Source organism: Homo sapiens, chromosome 12, assembly GCF_000001405.40.
Source record: "Homo sapiens chromosome 12, GRCh38.p14 Primary Assembly".
Lineage (NCBI taxonomy): Eukaryota > Metazoa > Chordata > Mammalia > Primates > Hominidae > Homo > Homo sapiens.
Genome location: NC_000012.12, coordinates 129,696,699 through 129,712,636, shown reverse-complemented (window position 1 = coordinate 129,712,636; position 15,938 = coordinate 129,696,699). Strand labels below are relative to the sequence as shown.

Sequence of the window (15,938 nt, the reverse complement as noted above, 5' to 3'; positions counted from 1 at the left end):
AGTTTCTTGGTAGCGCCAGCCATACTTTCAGTGCCCAGTAACCACTGGTGGTGCGTGGCCCCGTTCCACTGCACTGCACAAAGACATTTCAGGAGCGCAGCAAGCTCCACCAGGCAGTGATGGAGGTGGCCACTCCCACCTGCAAGGGAGACTTGGAAATGTAGCTCTTCCCCTAATTAAAACTTGAGTTCTATTGTTAAGAAGAAAGATAAAGATCGGTTGCAGTGGCTCACGCCGGTAATCCCAGCACTTTGGGAGGCTGAGGCGGGCAGATCACGAGCTCAGGAGATCGAGACCATCCTGGCTAACATGGTGAAACCCCGTTTCTACTAAAAATACAAAAAATTAGCCAGGCATGGAGGTGTGAGCCTGTAATTTCAGCTACTTGGGAGGCTGAGGCAGGAGAATCGCTTGAACCTGGGAGGCAGATGTTGCAGTGAGCCGAGATCACGCCATTGCACTCCACTCTGGGTGACAGAGTGAGACTCCATCTCAAAAAAATAATAATAACAATAATGATAATAAAATAATAAAGATGAAAACATATTGTGCGGAGTAGCTTTTTGTTCCTGCCACAGAGCCCTGCCAAGGGTATTTACTAAATAAGAAATAACCTGAGGATGTACTGGAGACTTTCCCAGATGCTCCACAAGGTGGTTTCCAACTCTGGGGCTCAACATTCAGGAAGCCCTCGACTTCTCTCACTTTTAGCACAACCCTGGGACTTTGATCCAAAGGACACTATCAACTTTTACCTGTTATAGTCCTATTTTCATTCATTATACACATGGATTTTTTATAATCCTTTATATAATATATAATGTAAATATATAATATATATTTATAATATGAATATATAATAATCCCACATCCTTTATATAATCCCATCCTTTTTTTTTTTTTTTTTTGGAGATGGAATTTCGCTCTTGTTGCCAAGGCTGGAGTGCAATGGCGCGATCTCGGCTCACTCCAACCTCCACTTCCCGGGTTGAAGTGATTCTCCTGCCTCAGCCTCCTAAGTAGCTGGGATTACAGGCCTGCGCCACCATGCCCGGCTAATTTTTTGTATTTTTAGTAGCTATGGGGTTTCACCATGTTGATCAGGCTGGTCTCGAACACCTGACCTCAGGTGATCCACCCGCCATGGCCTCCCAAAGTGCTGGGATTACAGGCGTGAGCCACTGTGCCTGGCCTATATAATCCCATGTTTAAACAACCGCCCATTTGAGCAGGCTGAGTGCTTTCCACCTGGAACCTGATTGATAGCGCTGCTGGGAGCGGAGAGGAGTTCAGATTCTAGATATATTTATCACATAGAGCCAAGAGCTTATGTTGTGGATTGTACACAGATGTGAAACGCAGAGAGGAGCCATGCATGGCGCCAAGGTTTTGGCATGTGATACCGGAACAACGGAAGTTGCATTTTCTGAGCTGGGACATCGGTGAGAAGAGAGGTTTTAGGGGGACCAATGCAAGTGTATTTAGGGGGCCAATGAAGCGTTACATTTCAAGTTTTGGATGCTTGTGAGATCTCTGAGGGAAGGTGCTGAGAAGGACGAGGGATTTTTTAGTGGAGGTTGAGGAAGAGTTCCAGTCTGGAGATGCAAATCGAAGCCTAGAGAGTGGATATGGTTACCCAGGGAATGCGCGTGGGTAGGGGAGAGGCAGCGTGCACACCGAGGCTAAACACAGCCGGGGAATGCGCGTGGGTAGGGGAGAGGCAGCGTGCGCACTGAGGCTGAACACAGCCGGGGAATGCGCGTGGGTATGGGAGAGGCAGCGTGCGCACTAAGGCTGAACACACTGACATTGAGAGGAGGCGGCGGAAGGGAAGAATACCAAGGTGCGAAGCCTGAGGGGAGAGGAGCATGGCTGCGGGCTTTCAAGTGTTCGCCTCTTTCTGGACCTAGTTTGTCTTACATTCAAGTTTTAAAAGTGATCCTAAGAAAGACACTCCGAAATGCCTTAAGTGTTTGCAATAAAATAGATAAAATAAATAGGCAAGAGATATTTTGCATAATGTTTTTCCAATTAAATAATCGGCGGGGCACGGTGCTCATGCCTGTAATCCCAGCAGCTTAGGAAGCCGAGGTGGGTGGATCACCTGAGGTCGGGAGTTCGAGACCAGCCTGGCCAACATGGCAAAACCCCGTCTCTACTAAAAATACAAAAAATTAGCCAGGTGTGGTGGCAGGCACCTGTAATCCCAGCTACTTGGGAGGCTGAGGCAGGAGAATCACTTGAACACGGGAGGTGGAGGTTGCAGTGAGCCGAGATTGCACCATTGCCCTCCAGCCTGGGTGACACAGTGAGACTCTGTCTCAAAAATAAATAAATAAATAAATAAATAAAAATTAATAATGACCATTAGCGATAATGGGAAAATTTAAAGGAAAACACAACACTTAGGAAGAAAATTAACACCCCAAATCCCACCAGGTGGATACAACTATTATTCATGGTTGCTATACTTCTCTTCAGTTTTTCCTTTATGTGGGTATACTGTATACATTTCATTGATTCTGAGACTTTCTTTTCATACGTGCTATCTCTGAAATGAGAATATGTCTTAAAATTTATGATCTTTTCACATTTCTTTTGTCCTGAAATTACTTGGGATTCAGTTCATTTGCTAGGGCTGGTCATAAATGTTCATGTCTTAAGCACTTCTATATGTAAATGCTTTTAAAATAAATTTTCAATGAGTATAAAGTAAAAATTCTAAGAGATTACAATTTTTGTGTCATAGCTCAGCCTCTTAGTGGTACATAAAATAATGGTTTACTTTAAAATTAATAGGATCTGAGATTCTATGAAATATGATATACATTTTTGTGTTATAAGCTAAACATCCTCTTTCTTTATTCAGTCAATAATAATTTATGTGATATCTGCTTCAGGCCACTAGGTCAAACCTCCTACTGAGAACAAGTAGAAAAGCTGAAGAATACGACAACAAAAAAACATGCATTAAAGGCATTAGAGAGCTTTGGAGGCACACAGGATATTAAAAATCCAAGACGTCAGGAGGAAGGAGGCACACTCCGGTGAATCCAACATTCTGAGATGTTTTCCTTTGGGAACCTTTTGCTTCTACTTCTTTGGTGCGAAGCAAAGAAATTCAGAATCTGAGGAGAAGGTGGTAGTTAAGAGGATGCTGAACAGAGTTTTTTACAGTCTCATAAGACAAAAATTGTAGTTTATTTTCTACCAAGAAATAGATTTCCTTGTCTATTCTAATAAATAGTTACATATCCTTTCTTTGGATCTATAGTTTGTAGCTGATTTTTCAGCTTTATGGCTGGCACTGCACTCAACATTCTTATAAATTTTTCAGAGTATTTCTGTATTTCCTCACAATGGATTCTTAGATATACAATGAATGGGGCAGAGAGACAGGAAATTTCAAGCCTCTTTTAGGCATTGTCAAATCATCTCCCAGAAATTTGACCCCGACCATGATTCTTCTTGAGTTCCATATGAGAGCATTGCTGTTATGAAACTTGCAGCAGCTCAGTCCATTACCATTAAAAAACTCTTGGTCAATTTTTAAGGAAAAAATATATCACTCTGAGCTTGGCTTGACGTTTCTTTCTATCTTGAGAGTCTGGTGTAATAGCGCCTGATGTCCATGGTCTCATCTGAGTAGGTCTTCCACACTCACTCTGGAAAGTTCTGATACAGTCGTTCCCTGTCTAATCTGCATGGTTAGGACATGTGATGTGGTTTTTCAACGTATTATCTATGATGTACCATCTAGGTATGTACTGTCTCCTCAACTGTAAAGCTGAAGCACCAGCTCTCCAACTGGAGTGGTTTTCTCCCTAAGTTGGGTTGCCAGATGTAGCAAATAAAGTACATGGTGTCCTGTAAAATGTGATTTTTAGACAAAAAATAATGTTCTCTGGAATATTGGGGACTAACACTACAAAGTATTCATTTTTTTTTTTTTCTGGAATTCCTAGTTAAATGAGTGCACTGTGTGTGTGTGTGTGTGTGTGTGTGTTTTTTTTTTTTTTTTTTTTTACCTGAGCCTCTACTTGGAGTGGACACTTGGTAAGGTCTGGAGACATTTGTGGTTGTGACAGCTGGGCTGGGGGTGGCAGCTGCTGGCACCTAGGCAGGGGTCAGGGAGACCGATAGGCATTCAGCAAGGCACAGGACGCCCCCATGACCAAGGCTGGTCTTCAGCAGTGCTGAGGTTGAGAATCCCTCACAGAGGGTGTGTGGTTTCCACTTTAATTTCCAGGCTTTGTATTTAGCTGGTGAAGGGTCAGGACTCACAAAGGCTAAATAGGATTAGTGTGTTTGGGAATATATCACTCCCCTCTTCCTGTCTCAAGTTGGTCTTCAGCTTATTTGATTGGCTAGATAACTTTTTATCCTCTCACCCTGTTTTCTTTTTCTTTTTTCTGTTTTTGAGACGAGGTCTTGCTCTGTCATCCAAGCTGGAGTGCACTGGTGCGATCTCAGCTCACTGCAACCTCTGCCTCCTGGGTTCAAGCCATTCTCCCACCTCAGCCTCCTGACTAGCTGGGATTACAGGTGCATGCCACCACGCCCAGCTGATCTTTGTGTTTTTAGTAGAGACAGGCTTTCACCATGTTGGCCAAGCTGGTCTCGAACTCTGGACCTCAAGTGATCTGCTTGCTTTGGCCTCCCAAAGTGCTGGGATTACGGGTGTGAACCACCGCGCCTGGCCCTGTTTTATTTCATACTTACAGTTTTATGAAATTATATGACAGGTGTTTATTTTTTTCTTGATATTTAATCAGTCCCCCTCACTCCAATGCCAGCCTCATGAGGATAGCGATCTGGCTCTTCCTGTTGAATTCTGTTTCCCCTGCACCCAGCACTGCGTCCAGCGCAAATATCTGTGTTGGGAATGATACCATGAATTGATAAAGACAGAAATGTATCTTGCTCTTAAGATACCTTCATGGTCTCCAAATGTAATGGTGAAGATACTTGTATACTGTCCAACATATTGATGGCACATATGAGTCAACTGTTTCAAATACAAGAACTTTACCTTTCCAAAAGTATTGGGGACAGCTTCAACACATTCTTTTTCTCAGAAACTGATAAAGCAGACAAAAATAAGATATTCTATAGAAAAATTGAGAGCGCAGTTACCAGACAGCCCCTCTATGCTACTGTGTGTCTTTTAGAATTTCATACCAATCTTTGGATTTTAACTTTTACTTGCTTTCTAGAATTACACAAGCTTTTTCTTTCCCTTCCTTTTTGTTTATTTTATGGAAATTTTTGTATGAGAGACTATATAAATGCATGATTTGTTCATTTTTAACAATCTATTACTATAAATGTATGATTTGTTCATTTTTTAACAATCTATCACATATATAAACATATATATTATATACACATATATACATGTATTATATACATATATAATATATACTATTATATATTATATTACAATGTTATTATAGATATAGTATATATTATATATATATATATTTTTCCTAATGCAACACCTCTTTGATTTAATTCTCAATTTTGTTGTCTTACATTGTTATTTTCCTACTTTTGTTTTTATTAATGCTTCTTTAGAGCTCTTCATTTAGATTTTGTTTTGGGTTTCTCATTTTGAGTGTTTAGTTGATCAATTTTATTTCGTTTAATAATGATACTATTGAAGACTATGAATTTGCTTTTGACTGCATCTTTGGCTGCTTCACATATGTTTTGATGTGTAGTAGTATTGCCATTATTAGCAGCTTGTAAATATAGTATAATGGAAAGGTTTATTTTGATTTTGATTCAAGAACTGTTAAGTAGTTGGGTTTCTCTTATTCAACTATGAATATAAATTCATAGTTTTTATGAAATTATATTCTCGTGTATATGATCATGGAATATCATTTAAATTATTTCTGTATTTTATTATTATTATTGTCTCCTTGTAGCCTTATATATGATTAGTTTATGGGAAGGTCCCATGAACACTTTAAGTGAGTGTATTCTCCATAGAGATTATAATAGCATTAGTTATTTATATCTTCATGTCATTATTTACTTTTCTATACTTCATAAGTCAGAGACCGGAAAAGGAGGTATGTAACATTTAAGCAAATTTTAGTTACTATCAATTTCTACTTGTAATTTTAAGAGATTTTTGTTACATTAATTTGGGGGCTGTATATACTTGCATAAAATATCTACAACTATTTATGCATTGTGAATTGTGTCTTTTATTAAAATTAAGACCTTTAATTCAGTTACTTATTTTTATCTTGAATTTTACTTTTTTTGTATTAAAGTTGTGACCCCAGTTTTCTTTCTCTATAGAATATCTATGCCTATTCTTTTTGTTGTTTATTTATTCATTAATTTTTAAAATACCTCAGTCAACTTATTTAAGTTCTCCTGGAGACAATTTATAGCTTAACTTTTTTTTCTTTTAACTTTTGAGCCAGCTCGAGAATCTTAGTCTTTTAATGGAATAATCTAAGCCACTTATATATAATATCATAACTCATAAATTTGTTCTTCTGTCATATTTTGTTTTCTATTTTTGTTTATCTGTGCATTCAATAGATTATTCAGTAAACTGTTTCTGTCCTCTCTCCTCAGTTCTTCCCACTAATCTATAAGCATAGAAACCAAAATTTAAGTTATCAGAAAAGTATAGTTGGACATATTTTTATTTGGTTGTCATTGACTAAAATAAAGCCATATCTACTGATATCTCTTATGAAGATACAAATTTAGTCCACTTTAACTTTCTTTTGTTCCCTAAGTCTATTGGCATTTTTAAGTTTATAAATTTTAAATTACTTATAGTGTTTGGATTCTGAATTTTTTATTACTATTTTCAATGTGTGGGGTTTTGCCTGTATTTGAAACTCTCTATCTGAATGTATTCTACACGTAAATGTTTTCAGTGCTTATCTGGTTCTCATTTAACATGATTTTCCTATTCTTGAGTACTGCACTTTGATTAACCTTCTGGTGTCCCAGATAATAAGCTTCAGTGTTCTTTTCAGCAACAGAAGATATGGTATACATTTGTTTCTTTCTGTTGCCCTCACAATTACCAGAAAAATCCTGAGGGCAAATAATTGTTCAATTAGATAATTGTTCAGTTAGAACATCCTTCATCATATTTCTGTGAATATTTATCATTATTTTTTAATATCTAATTTTGTACAGTGGATGCAAATGAAGACAATCTGATTTTTTTTCTTAGTTTTTAGTTTTTAAAATTTTACTTTTAACTAAATGCTTATAGAATTACTCTTTACCCTTGATGCAACTGTGTTTTTTAGAAATACCTAAAAGGTGGTGTTTTCGGTTTTCTCTGGAATCAGGGAAATGTAAAGATCTACTTTGAATTTGTATATGTATATAAACCCGGGAATGTTTTCGTTTCTTTTTTTGCCTTTTAATGCTGCTGCTTTTGCATTTTCCTGGTGTCTTCATTAGGAGCTCCATCATCTGAATATTGAACATCTAATGTGCATCTCACATGGTTACAGCCTCTTACTGATCATTTCCATTGCTTCGCCTTTTCTATTTAGCTGTAGGGAAAGCTTCAAAAGCTCCCATTCTCATATGATAAATTCAATTTTCTGCATTTTTCAAATCTGTGTTATTGCATCTGAAACCATTTTAAATTCCTTACTTTTAATACTTCAGGATCTTCTTCCATCTCAGTCTTATTTCCTTACAAAACAACAAAGGCTCTGCTTTTCTTGATGATTGTGAGCTCCGAAGTCATTTTGTATAAAAGGTACTTCAATATTCTATGGTAAATACTCTTCAAAGGTATGTTATTCCTCTACTTCTTGAATGTCTTTCTGAATTTCCTTCGTTACTCTGCAGCTTTTATTGGTAGGTCCTGTTCTCCTTCTGTTTTTGTTTATTTACATATCCTTCACCGAGGGCAGCCTTGTTTACATTGGCGTTGCATGTTACCATATGACCCGGCATCCCTGGGGGGACGGTGAGGATGCTCTGGGGTGTTGACATGCCCAGCAGGGGAGATCCCTTGCTCCAAGGTGCCTTCTGTGAGTTGGGTGCAGGGGCCACATGGGCACTGGTTTCCTGTAAGTGATTTTAGGTTTGGACTCATTCCAGGAGCAGTGTGGCTATGTCAAACCTCCTGCCCCCATCACTGTCTCTGTTAGGGAAGAACAGCATCAGCAAGACGCCTTGATGTTTTAGGGCTTTCTGTGCAGCGCGGCGCCCCCTATGCTTGGGTCTCTGATTCAGCTGATGGCAAAGCTGGTTGCCTCCCAGCATTGGGAATATTGTCAGGTGCGGGAGCACCCACATGGCCCATGGCCTTTGCTCTTGCAGATATCAGGGTAGATTTGTCAGCTGCCTAGATATCAGATATCTTACAGCTATCTACTCAGCGGACAACTATTTTCTTTCTATGACAATACCATGCTGAGGATTGCCAGATTTGGGAAATAAAACACAAGATGTCTAGCTACATTTGAATTTCAGAAAAACACCATTTAAAAATATTTATTGTTAATTATAAGCATGCCCTATGGAATATTTCTGTTTATTGGAAATCAAAACATAATTAGGTGTTTGTGTTTTATCTGGCTGCCCTAATCATTCTGTTTTCTATGTGAGGTATTTGAGTCCCTTGTGAGTCCCAGTAATTCTTGCAGTCTATGGCATGCAGATTGTACCTAATTTTCAGCATGGATGTAGATTTTTTTTTTTTTTGCCTATTACCGTATTCGATTAGTTATTGCTTTTGAGTCCACATAGGGGAAAACTGAGAGTCTTGTGCTCAAATTGCCTTCCTCCCATATTTTTTAAAAAAGTATTATTCAGGGAAAAATGATCCTTTCAAAAATGTTAAAATTAATACAAAATCTCTCCCAGACCACTGAGTTGCTTCAAGATGCGAACATGTCACTCTCCTTCAAGTAAGAATTACAGCCACGGAACCCAATCAAAAAGTAATTTTTGTCCTTAGCGAATTATTAGCTGAGATTTACTGTGTATAGCTTCTTTGTAATTTAACACTTTGCTAATTTTTATGTTAAATAAAAATCATGTCCTTTAGTGACAGTAACCATTCCTGTAAGGATGAGAGGATAATGAGTTTTACTTCGTTCATTCTGTGCATCGTGGACCATAATTGGCATTATTTTTGTAGTATTAGTTAAAAAAAAAAAAGAAAGGAAGTGACACTAGCTTTAGGTCAAAATGGAGCAATTTTAAGCAATAAACATTTAGGTCAGATACCAGGCAAAATGACTAATAGACCATTTGTGGAATAAAGCTAAGAAGTTACTTCCCTTCAAATGATGTTCACAGTGACCCCGATTGCCTTATTGCTTTCCTGAATAAAATCATAGGACCCGATGTCATTGCCCTTGGAAGGTGTAATTAGCTGCACAGTTAGGTTTCATGTCCTCAAGTAGTCGGGGTCAGATGTTCAACAGGGAAGTTCACGGAGCCTTGGTGTCTGGCATTAACATTTAAGCATCTGTAATTTGGTTGTCTGGCTTTGGCTGTTTCTAGCACGAATGGCAAAAGAGTGCTGAGGCAGCTCAAGGTACTTGTTCTGAGTGGTGCCAAGATGTGTTTTTAACAATAGGGGACACTGTATCAACTGATGTAGGTCTTATAGGAGTCTCATTACATGGAGAGGCCCATCTTCCTTAGTCCCGTATCACCAGGATTACACGGAGCTCTTAATGGGATAAAAGGATCCAGGATTCCGATTACAGTGATGGAAGCCAAGAGGACAGTGAATAACATCCTAGTGTAAAAACAGAATCTGCTCTTTGTGACATAAAAAGCATAATCCACATGTTGATTTATTCATTCACGTGTTTATCAAATATTTATTGAGTACCTGACATTTACCAGGCACTCTCTTAAAGACTGTGAATACAGCAGAGAAAAAAGCCTTGCGTGTCATTTCTGCTCCCTGGCATATCACACACTGGAGTGCATAGAGAATCACAGCAAAGCATAACGTGTTTTGATGCAGGAAGCTGGGGATGCTACAGAAAAACCCAGATGGAGACCATAACCCAGAATCATACAGTCAAGGAAAGGATCCCAGCAAGGTGACTTTGATAATGCAGCCAGAGAGGTCACAGAACTGTGGCTAGGCAAATGGGGAGAGGGTGCCCAGAGAGGGGCTGAAATATTCTTTGTCTCTTCTTTGTTTTTACTATAACTCACATGTGAAGATACAAGTTTAGAGATAATATCAATCAGGAGTTATTTCTATAAAGTTAAAACATGTAATCTTTTTAAGGCATGGAGTCCCTTTTTATATCTATGATATTTTGATTTTTGAAAACAATCCATATTTATGACGTTGAACCCTAGGAAATTGTCATTTGGGTGGATGCAGACTGCTCACTTATAAGCAGTCTCAAATGGTTCAGTCCAAGACAAGCCTTAGTTGTTTATATGGAAGCTCAGCCTGCTCTGAGTTTGGTCATGCCGATGATTGGAGAGATTTTTTCATCCAGGGCTTTCTGTAAACTCGGGTTGAATACATGCGTTGAACTTCTTGTCTAGAAGTTAAACTGGATGCAGCCTGACACCCTGTGTTATCACAGCTGGGCTGAGGCTACAGTGCTGCAGTCAGCCCCCTCATGCTACCAATGGGTCCATGGGAAACAACGAGGGTCAGTGACCTGCTCATCGTCTCACAAAGCCGGGAGCAGGACCCCTGCCTCCGAGCTCTTGGCTCTCTCAGCTGCTGGCGGATGACTGCCAAGAAGGGTCCTGACTCGGGAAGGCATCAGGCTTCCAGATGTGTGTTTGCGTGGGCCTTTGAGAAAGGTGGAGCCATGAGTGTCCGAGTAATCAAAGATAATTACATGGTGACTGACGAGAAGGGCTTCAGCATAACTTGTGGAGCTTTGCCTAGAAAGTCAGTGTTCCCAGCCAATAGTTTACATTTCTAAAACTCCTTAAATTGGTTCTTTGGATTATGCAATTGCTCTGCCTGCATTTTTCTTACAGAATGTAAGGCAACTTGTGAAAATAACATTTTGGATTTTTCTCCCCCTGAGGGAGAGATACGTTCAGTGCGGAAAAATGAACAATGGATTTTGTTCGTTGGTGACGGCGTAGTGTCCACAGGATGTGGCTGGCATGGAAGCGAGGTGCTGCCCTTCCCGTGCTTCTTAGGTTCAGGGTCCAGTGTTTCATAGATGACTTGGAGCATTGCTTTGTACGCCCGGCCCTGACACATTGGTGTCGTGGTCACCTCATCTCATCTATTTCTAGAGGGCCCCTCCCAATATATCCTTCCAAGGTATTTTCTCTGCATCTCTCCCCTTAACTCCAACTGGGGGCGGGTGTCCACTGTCCATGTGATTTATGATTGTGCATCTGCGTCTATTTTTGCCCCAAGTCTGTTAGCATTTCCCATTGGACATGTGCGTATATGCAGAACGTGCATATGAGTGGAACACAAAGGAATATGTATCAGGTGGAATGTGGACGTGGCATCAATCCATGTGTTGAGGAAGTCATTCCTGTTTCCAATCTCAGTCTGTGTTGAGTCAATGGGACGGTGCCTCTCTGTCGATGGTAGCTTGTCTGTGACAGCTTTCTAACACTTGCTAATCTCTCCTTTGATCAAAAAAAGAGCAAGTCTTTACCATAACCCCATAAAAACACCATTATCACGAGTGGAAATTTTAAAACTGTATTTGAATTGTATTTATTTGCATGCTCAACTTTTTTATAGGTTAAATGATACTGGTTTTCTACTTAGGTTGGTGGCATTTATTTCTTCTGAAACAAATAATATGAAGCGAGTAGATTGGATTAAGAGGTTTGGATAAGGAATTGCATAATTGGCGCGAAGACAGGGTCCTCTGTTATGAAGGGGGCACGCAGATGTCTGAAATGCTGGTAACAGGACCTTAGCATTACTAACGCCTGCACTGCGATTCCCTCCCCACAGTGACGGAAGGTCGAGGGATCCTTGAGAGCATCCAGAGGTTTTCCTTGCTGCCCACCTACCTCCCCGTGACCTACCACATCAACAACGCGGACGTCTCCTTCTTCCTGAAGGAGGCCAACCAGGATATCATGAGGAACTCCAGCCTGCAGTCCCGGGTGGAGTCATTTCTGATTTACAAATCCAGGAGGCTGCCTGTCCTCAATGCCAGCTACGGGCCTTTCTCCATCGAGCAAGTGGTGCCCCAGGATTTAATGCTACCTTCCAACCCATTTGGATTCACCAACAAATTTTCTCTTAACTGGAAACTAAAAGCCCACATCCTGCGGGACAAAGTCTACCTGAGCCGGCCCAAAGTGCAGGTTCTGTTCCACATCATGGGCAGAGACTGGGACGACCGCAGCGCCGGGGAGAAGCTGCCGTGCCTGAGGGTCTTTGCTTTCCGAGAGACCCGAGAGGTGCGGGGCAGCTGCCGGCTGCAGGGGGACCTGGGGCTGTGCGTGGCCGAGCTGGAGCTCCTGTCCAGCTGGTTCAGCCCCCCCACGGTGGTTGCCGGGAGGAGGAAGTCCGTGGACCAGCCGGAGGGGACCCCCGTGGAGCTCTACTACACCGTGCACCCAGGGGGTGAGAGAGGGGACTGCGTCAGGGAAGACGCGAGGAGAAGCAATGGGATCCGGACAGGCCACAGTGACATCGATGAGTCCGGGCCCCCCTTGCAGAGGATCGGGAGCATCTTCCTTTATCAGACACACAGGAAACCCTCCCTGAGAGAACTGCGTCTGGACAACAGCGTGGCCATCCACTATATACCAAAGACCGTGAGGAAAGGAGACGTGCTGACTTTTCCTGTTTCCATCTCCAGAAATTCCACTGAAGATCGCTTCACGTTGAGGTAAGTCGTTTCCCAATGTCTGTCTGTACCCGCCCGTCGATCAGGTGGTGTTTTCCAGAAGCTGTTTGACCAGAAAAGCTGTGTTATCGCTCACCGAAGTAGAGCCGGCCTTCCCGTTCTTACAAACTCCATCTGCACCGTGGAATACAGAGACCAGTCTGATCGTTCCGGGTTGGCAATTGGGTTGTGAGAATATTCGTCTTAATAGATTTTCCAAGCCATTGATAGGGCAGCCGGGGGGCTGCTGATGGTACGCCTTTTCCCTTAGCTTAGGGTATTATCAGCAAGTTTTGGGAATGCTAAAATTATCCAAGAAGGCTTTTCAAAATTGGGAGAGTTAAATGCCTCACAGCTGAAATGAGACTGCAAATGAAATGGCAACAGTTGTCAGAAAGGACAGGGAACACGGTTTTGCCAACTCAAAATCTATTCCAGATATGTAAGTTCTAAGTATAATATGGTACCAACCTCAAAGTTACCATTTTGTTTCTCCCTGGAAATAGAACTTAGTGTTCAAAAAAATAAATGAGCATAACGTGTGAAGAATATACAGTAGAATTTGTTGAGTTTCTTATATAAGAATATACCAAAGAGAAGACATTGAAAATAAGCTCTGTGTACTTTAGAATAAATATAGGCTGGTTTTCACTGTGGAATATAACGTATGAGAGAAGCTACTTGCCTAGGCTTGTTTGTATTTTCATTATATAGTTTTAGTTTTATTTTCAACACAGGCAAGTTTGATTACAACAGCTGTTTAGTAGAAGTGTTTTTGGGTTATTAAAAATGTCCTAGCACTGCTACATAACTCAACAATTTGACCTGATGTGCAATGTAATAAAATGTGTGTTATGACTCCTGAAATGAGGAGTGTAACTGTATGTAAGACATGTTTCATATGTGGGCTTATAAACTTCATCCAATGATGACCAGCTCTCTATCCCCCTTCATATGGGATTTATGGCTGCTTTTTCTAGCTTTTCTTTTCTTCTTTTCTTTTTTCTATTCTTTTCTTTCTCCCTCTCTTTCTCCCTCTCTCTTTCTCCCTCCCCTCTCCTCTTCCCCCTCCCCTCCCTTCTCCCCTCTCCCCTCCCCTTTCCTCCCCTTTCTCCTCCCCCTCCCCTCCCCATCTCCTCCCCCTCCCCTCCCCTCCCCCTCCCCCTCCCCTCCCCTCTCCCCTCCCCTCCATGCCGTCTCCCCTCCCCTCCCTCCCCTCCCCCCTCCCCTCTCCCCTCCCTTCTCCCCTCCCTTCTCCCCTCCCCTCCCCTCCCTTCCCCTCTCCCCTCCCCTTTTTTCCTTTATGTTTAAAGGGTGGATGAGTTTAAGAAAATAAATCACCGTTTTGATTCTACCTTGCACATTTAAGTTTATTTGATTGTGACCTAGTATTAGAAATGCCTATTTTAACTAAAGAAACAGAACCTAATGGACATGCATCTAATGACTGAACTTGGCTAAGTCCTGGAAGGTAAAAACCTTTGGCCTGGCTGGACGTGCCATTCGCGGAATAGCCGCAGGGATTTAGGGTACAGGAACACATCTGCGCTGGCCAAGCCTTCATTAGCGTTCCCTTCCGTCCTTCTGGAAATCGGATCTAGATCCAGCTGGCCACAGGTCCTCAATGAGGTCTGCTAGCTTTGTGTTTTACTTTTCTGGGTTCAACAGTCTTACATAGTATTCTTTGTGAGGATGGCTGCTTACGTAGAGAAATATTTTGGTGGTGGAAACAAAAAGTTTGAATAGGGGAGCTTTGATCTTACACCGTTTCATACCGTCTGCCATTTTTTAGGTCCGCCAACGACTGACTTGATTTTCTGAACGCAGGATTAAACACTGCAATCCCCTGAAGCTTTGACTCTCAGGAGATGAGAGCCACATGCAGCTTGTGTGTGTGTGTGTGTGTGTGTAAGCAGTGATGTGTGTAGCACTGAATTTCACAAAAAGCTTTGTGTCTCATGACTTTATGACACACTAAACATATCCATTAGGGTCCAAGGGTGGCTTTTATCTTTGGCAGTCTGTAACAAAACCAAGAGAAATTCACTATGTGTGGCTGCACAATATGAGGCTCCAAGTCTTGGCAAATTCACAAGCAAATGCATTTGAAGCTTCTAAATTTGGTGGCTCCACTCACAGGTCAAAGTTTGGAAAATTTGAGAAGTACAGCAAAAGTATATTTGTTCAGAGCCCATCAATTAGAAATGTCAATTCAATTTGAAAAATCAGTTTTACAGATGAGACAACAATGAAGGAAATGTTTCATGAATGTCTGTTTACCTCGGTACGATGCTACACTGTTTCTTTAAGAGGTTGCATTAATAATGTGCTTGCTGCATACTTAAAACGCTCTGATTATGGATGAGTCTCATGTGTTTATGTAAACAGCTGGAGGTTAACTTGGACCTGGCAAGATTATTATCCTTTAGCTTGAATCCCTATAATTAGAAAATAATAAAACTGTATATCTTTTTAAATGAAGTCAATTTGACACTAATTTAGCATAGCTTCCAAATATTTAGAATTGGTGTGCGTCTGTTCTCTCTGGCCATCTGCTATAAATAACCCTCAAGGATCCAGCCAAGTATCCTTGGGCGCTTTTCTCCAAACTGTGACTGTGCAAATATGCATCATGCACATTTGCAAATCATGGACTGACGCAGCAGCTACGGTTTGAGTTCTTTGTTGATAGCGACTGACCACCCACTGTACACCTCCCCGGCGGCGTGCCTGTGATCTCAGGGGCACTCAGGGGCATGCGACGGCTGAAGCACAGGAGTTAGCTTCTTTCTGTGTGTGTATTTGTATGCGTGTATATATGCATGTGTGTTTCACTCTTTAAGAACAAGAAAACCCAGGTGGGGCTTTTTGTCATCTTACAACCTCTGTTCTACCCTGCTGCTTCTATCTTCTGAAGGTGACATCTGCAGGAAAAGAAAAGCAAAACGCTTTCTTTCATTCCTGAGACATCTAACGATCTCATTCAATCCCAGAAAATGTTTTCCTTCAAGTGAACAGCTAAAGCATCCCACAGCACTGGAACCTTTTCTTCTATATTCTTCTAGCCACACATTCTCCTGTGTCCCTCCCCCACTGAGAGCAAGGCTCAGACGC

At 41.2% G+C, this 15,938-nt stretch overlaps 1 protein-coding gene across 1 annotated transcript in view, besides 1 other annotated feature; it reads left to right on the top strand.

Moving 5' to 3' along the window:
- TMEM132D (transmembrane protein 132D) overlaps nt 1–15,938 on the top strand; it is an 832,300-nt gene that overhangs the window by 191,389 nt on the left and 624,973 nt on the right. Inside the window, exon 2 of the mRNA NM_133448.3 lies at nt 11,939–12,827. Coding sequence (NP_597705.2) covers nt 11,939–12,827 — 889 coding nt within the window. The remainder of the gene's footprint in view (nt 1–11,938; nt 12,828–15,938) is intronic.
- Nucleotides 12,404–12,904: an enhancer, noted in NCBI's record as "H3K4me1 hESC enhancer chr12:130184278-130184778 (GRCh37/hg19 assembly coordinates)". NCBI's record gives its function as "activates a minimal SCP1, AML or CMV promoter by ChIP-STARR-seq in naive H9 embryonic stem cells {active_cell/tissue: H9 hESC(naive)}" and the evidence as "EXISTENCE:reporter gene assay evidence [ECO:0000049][PMID:30033119]".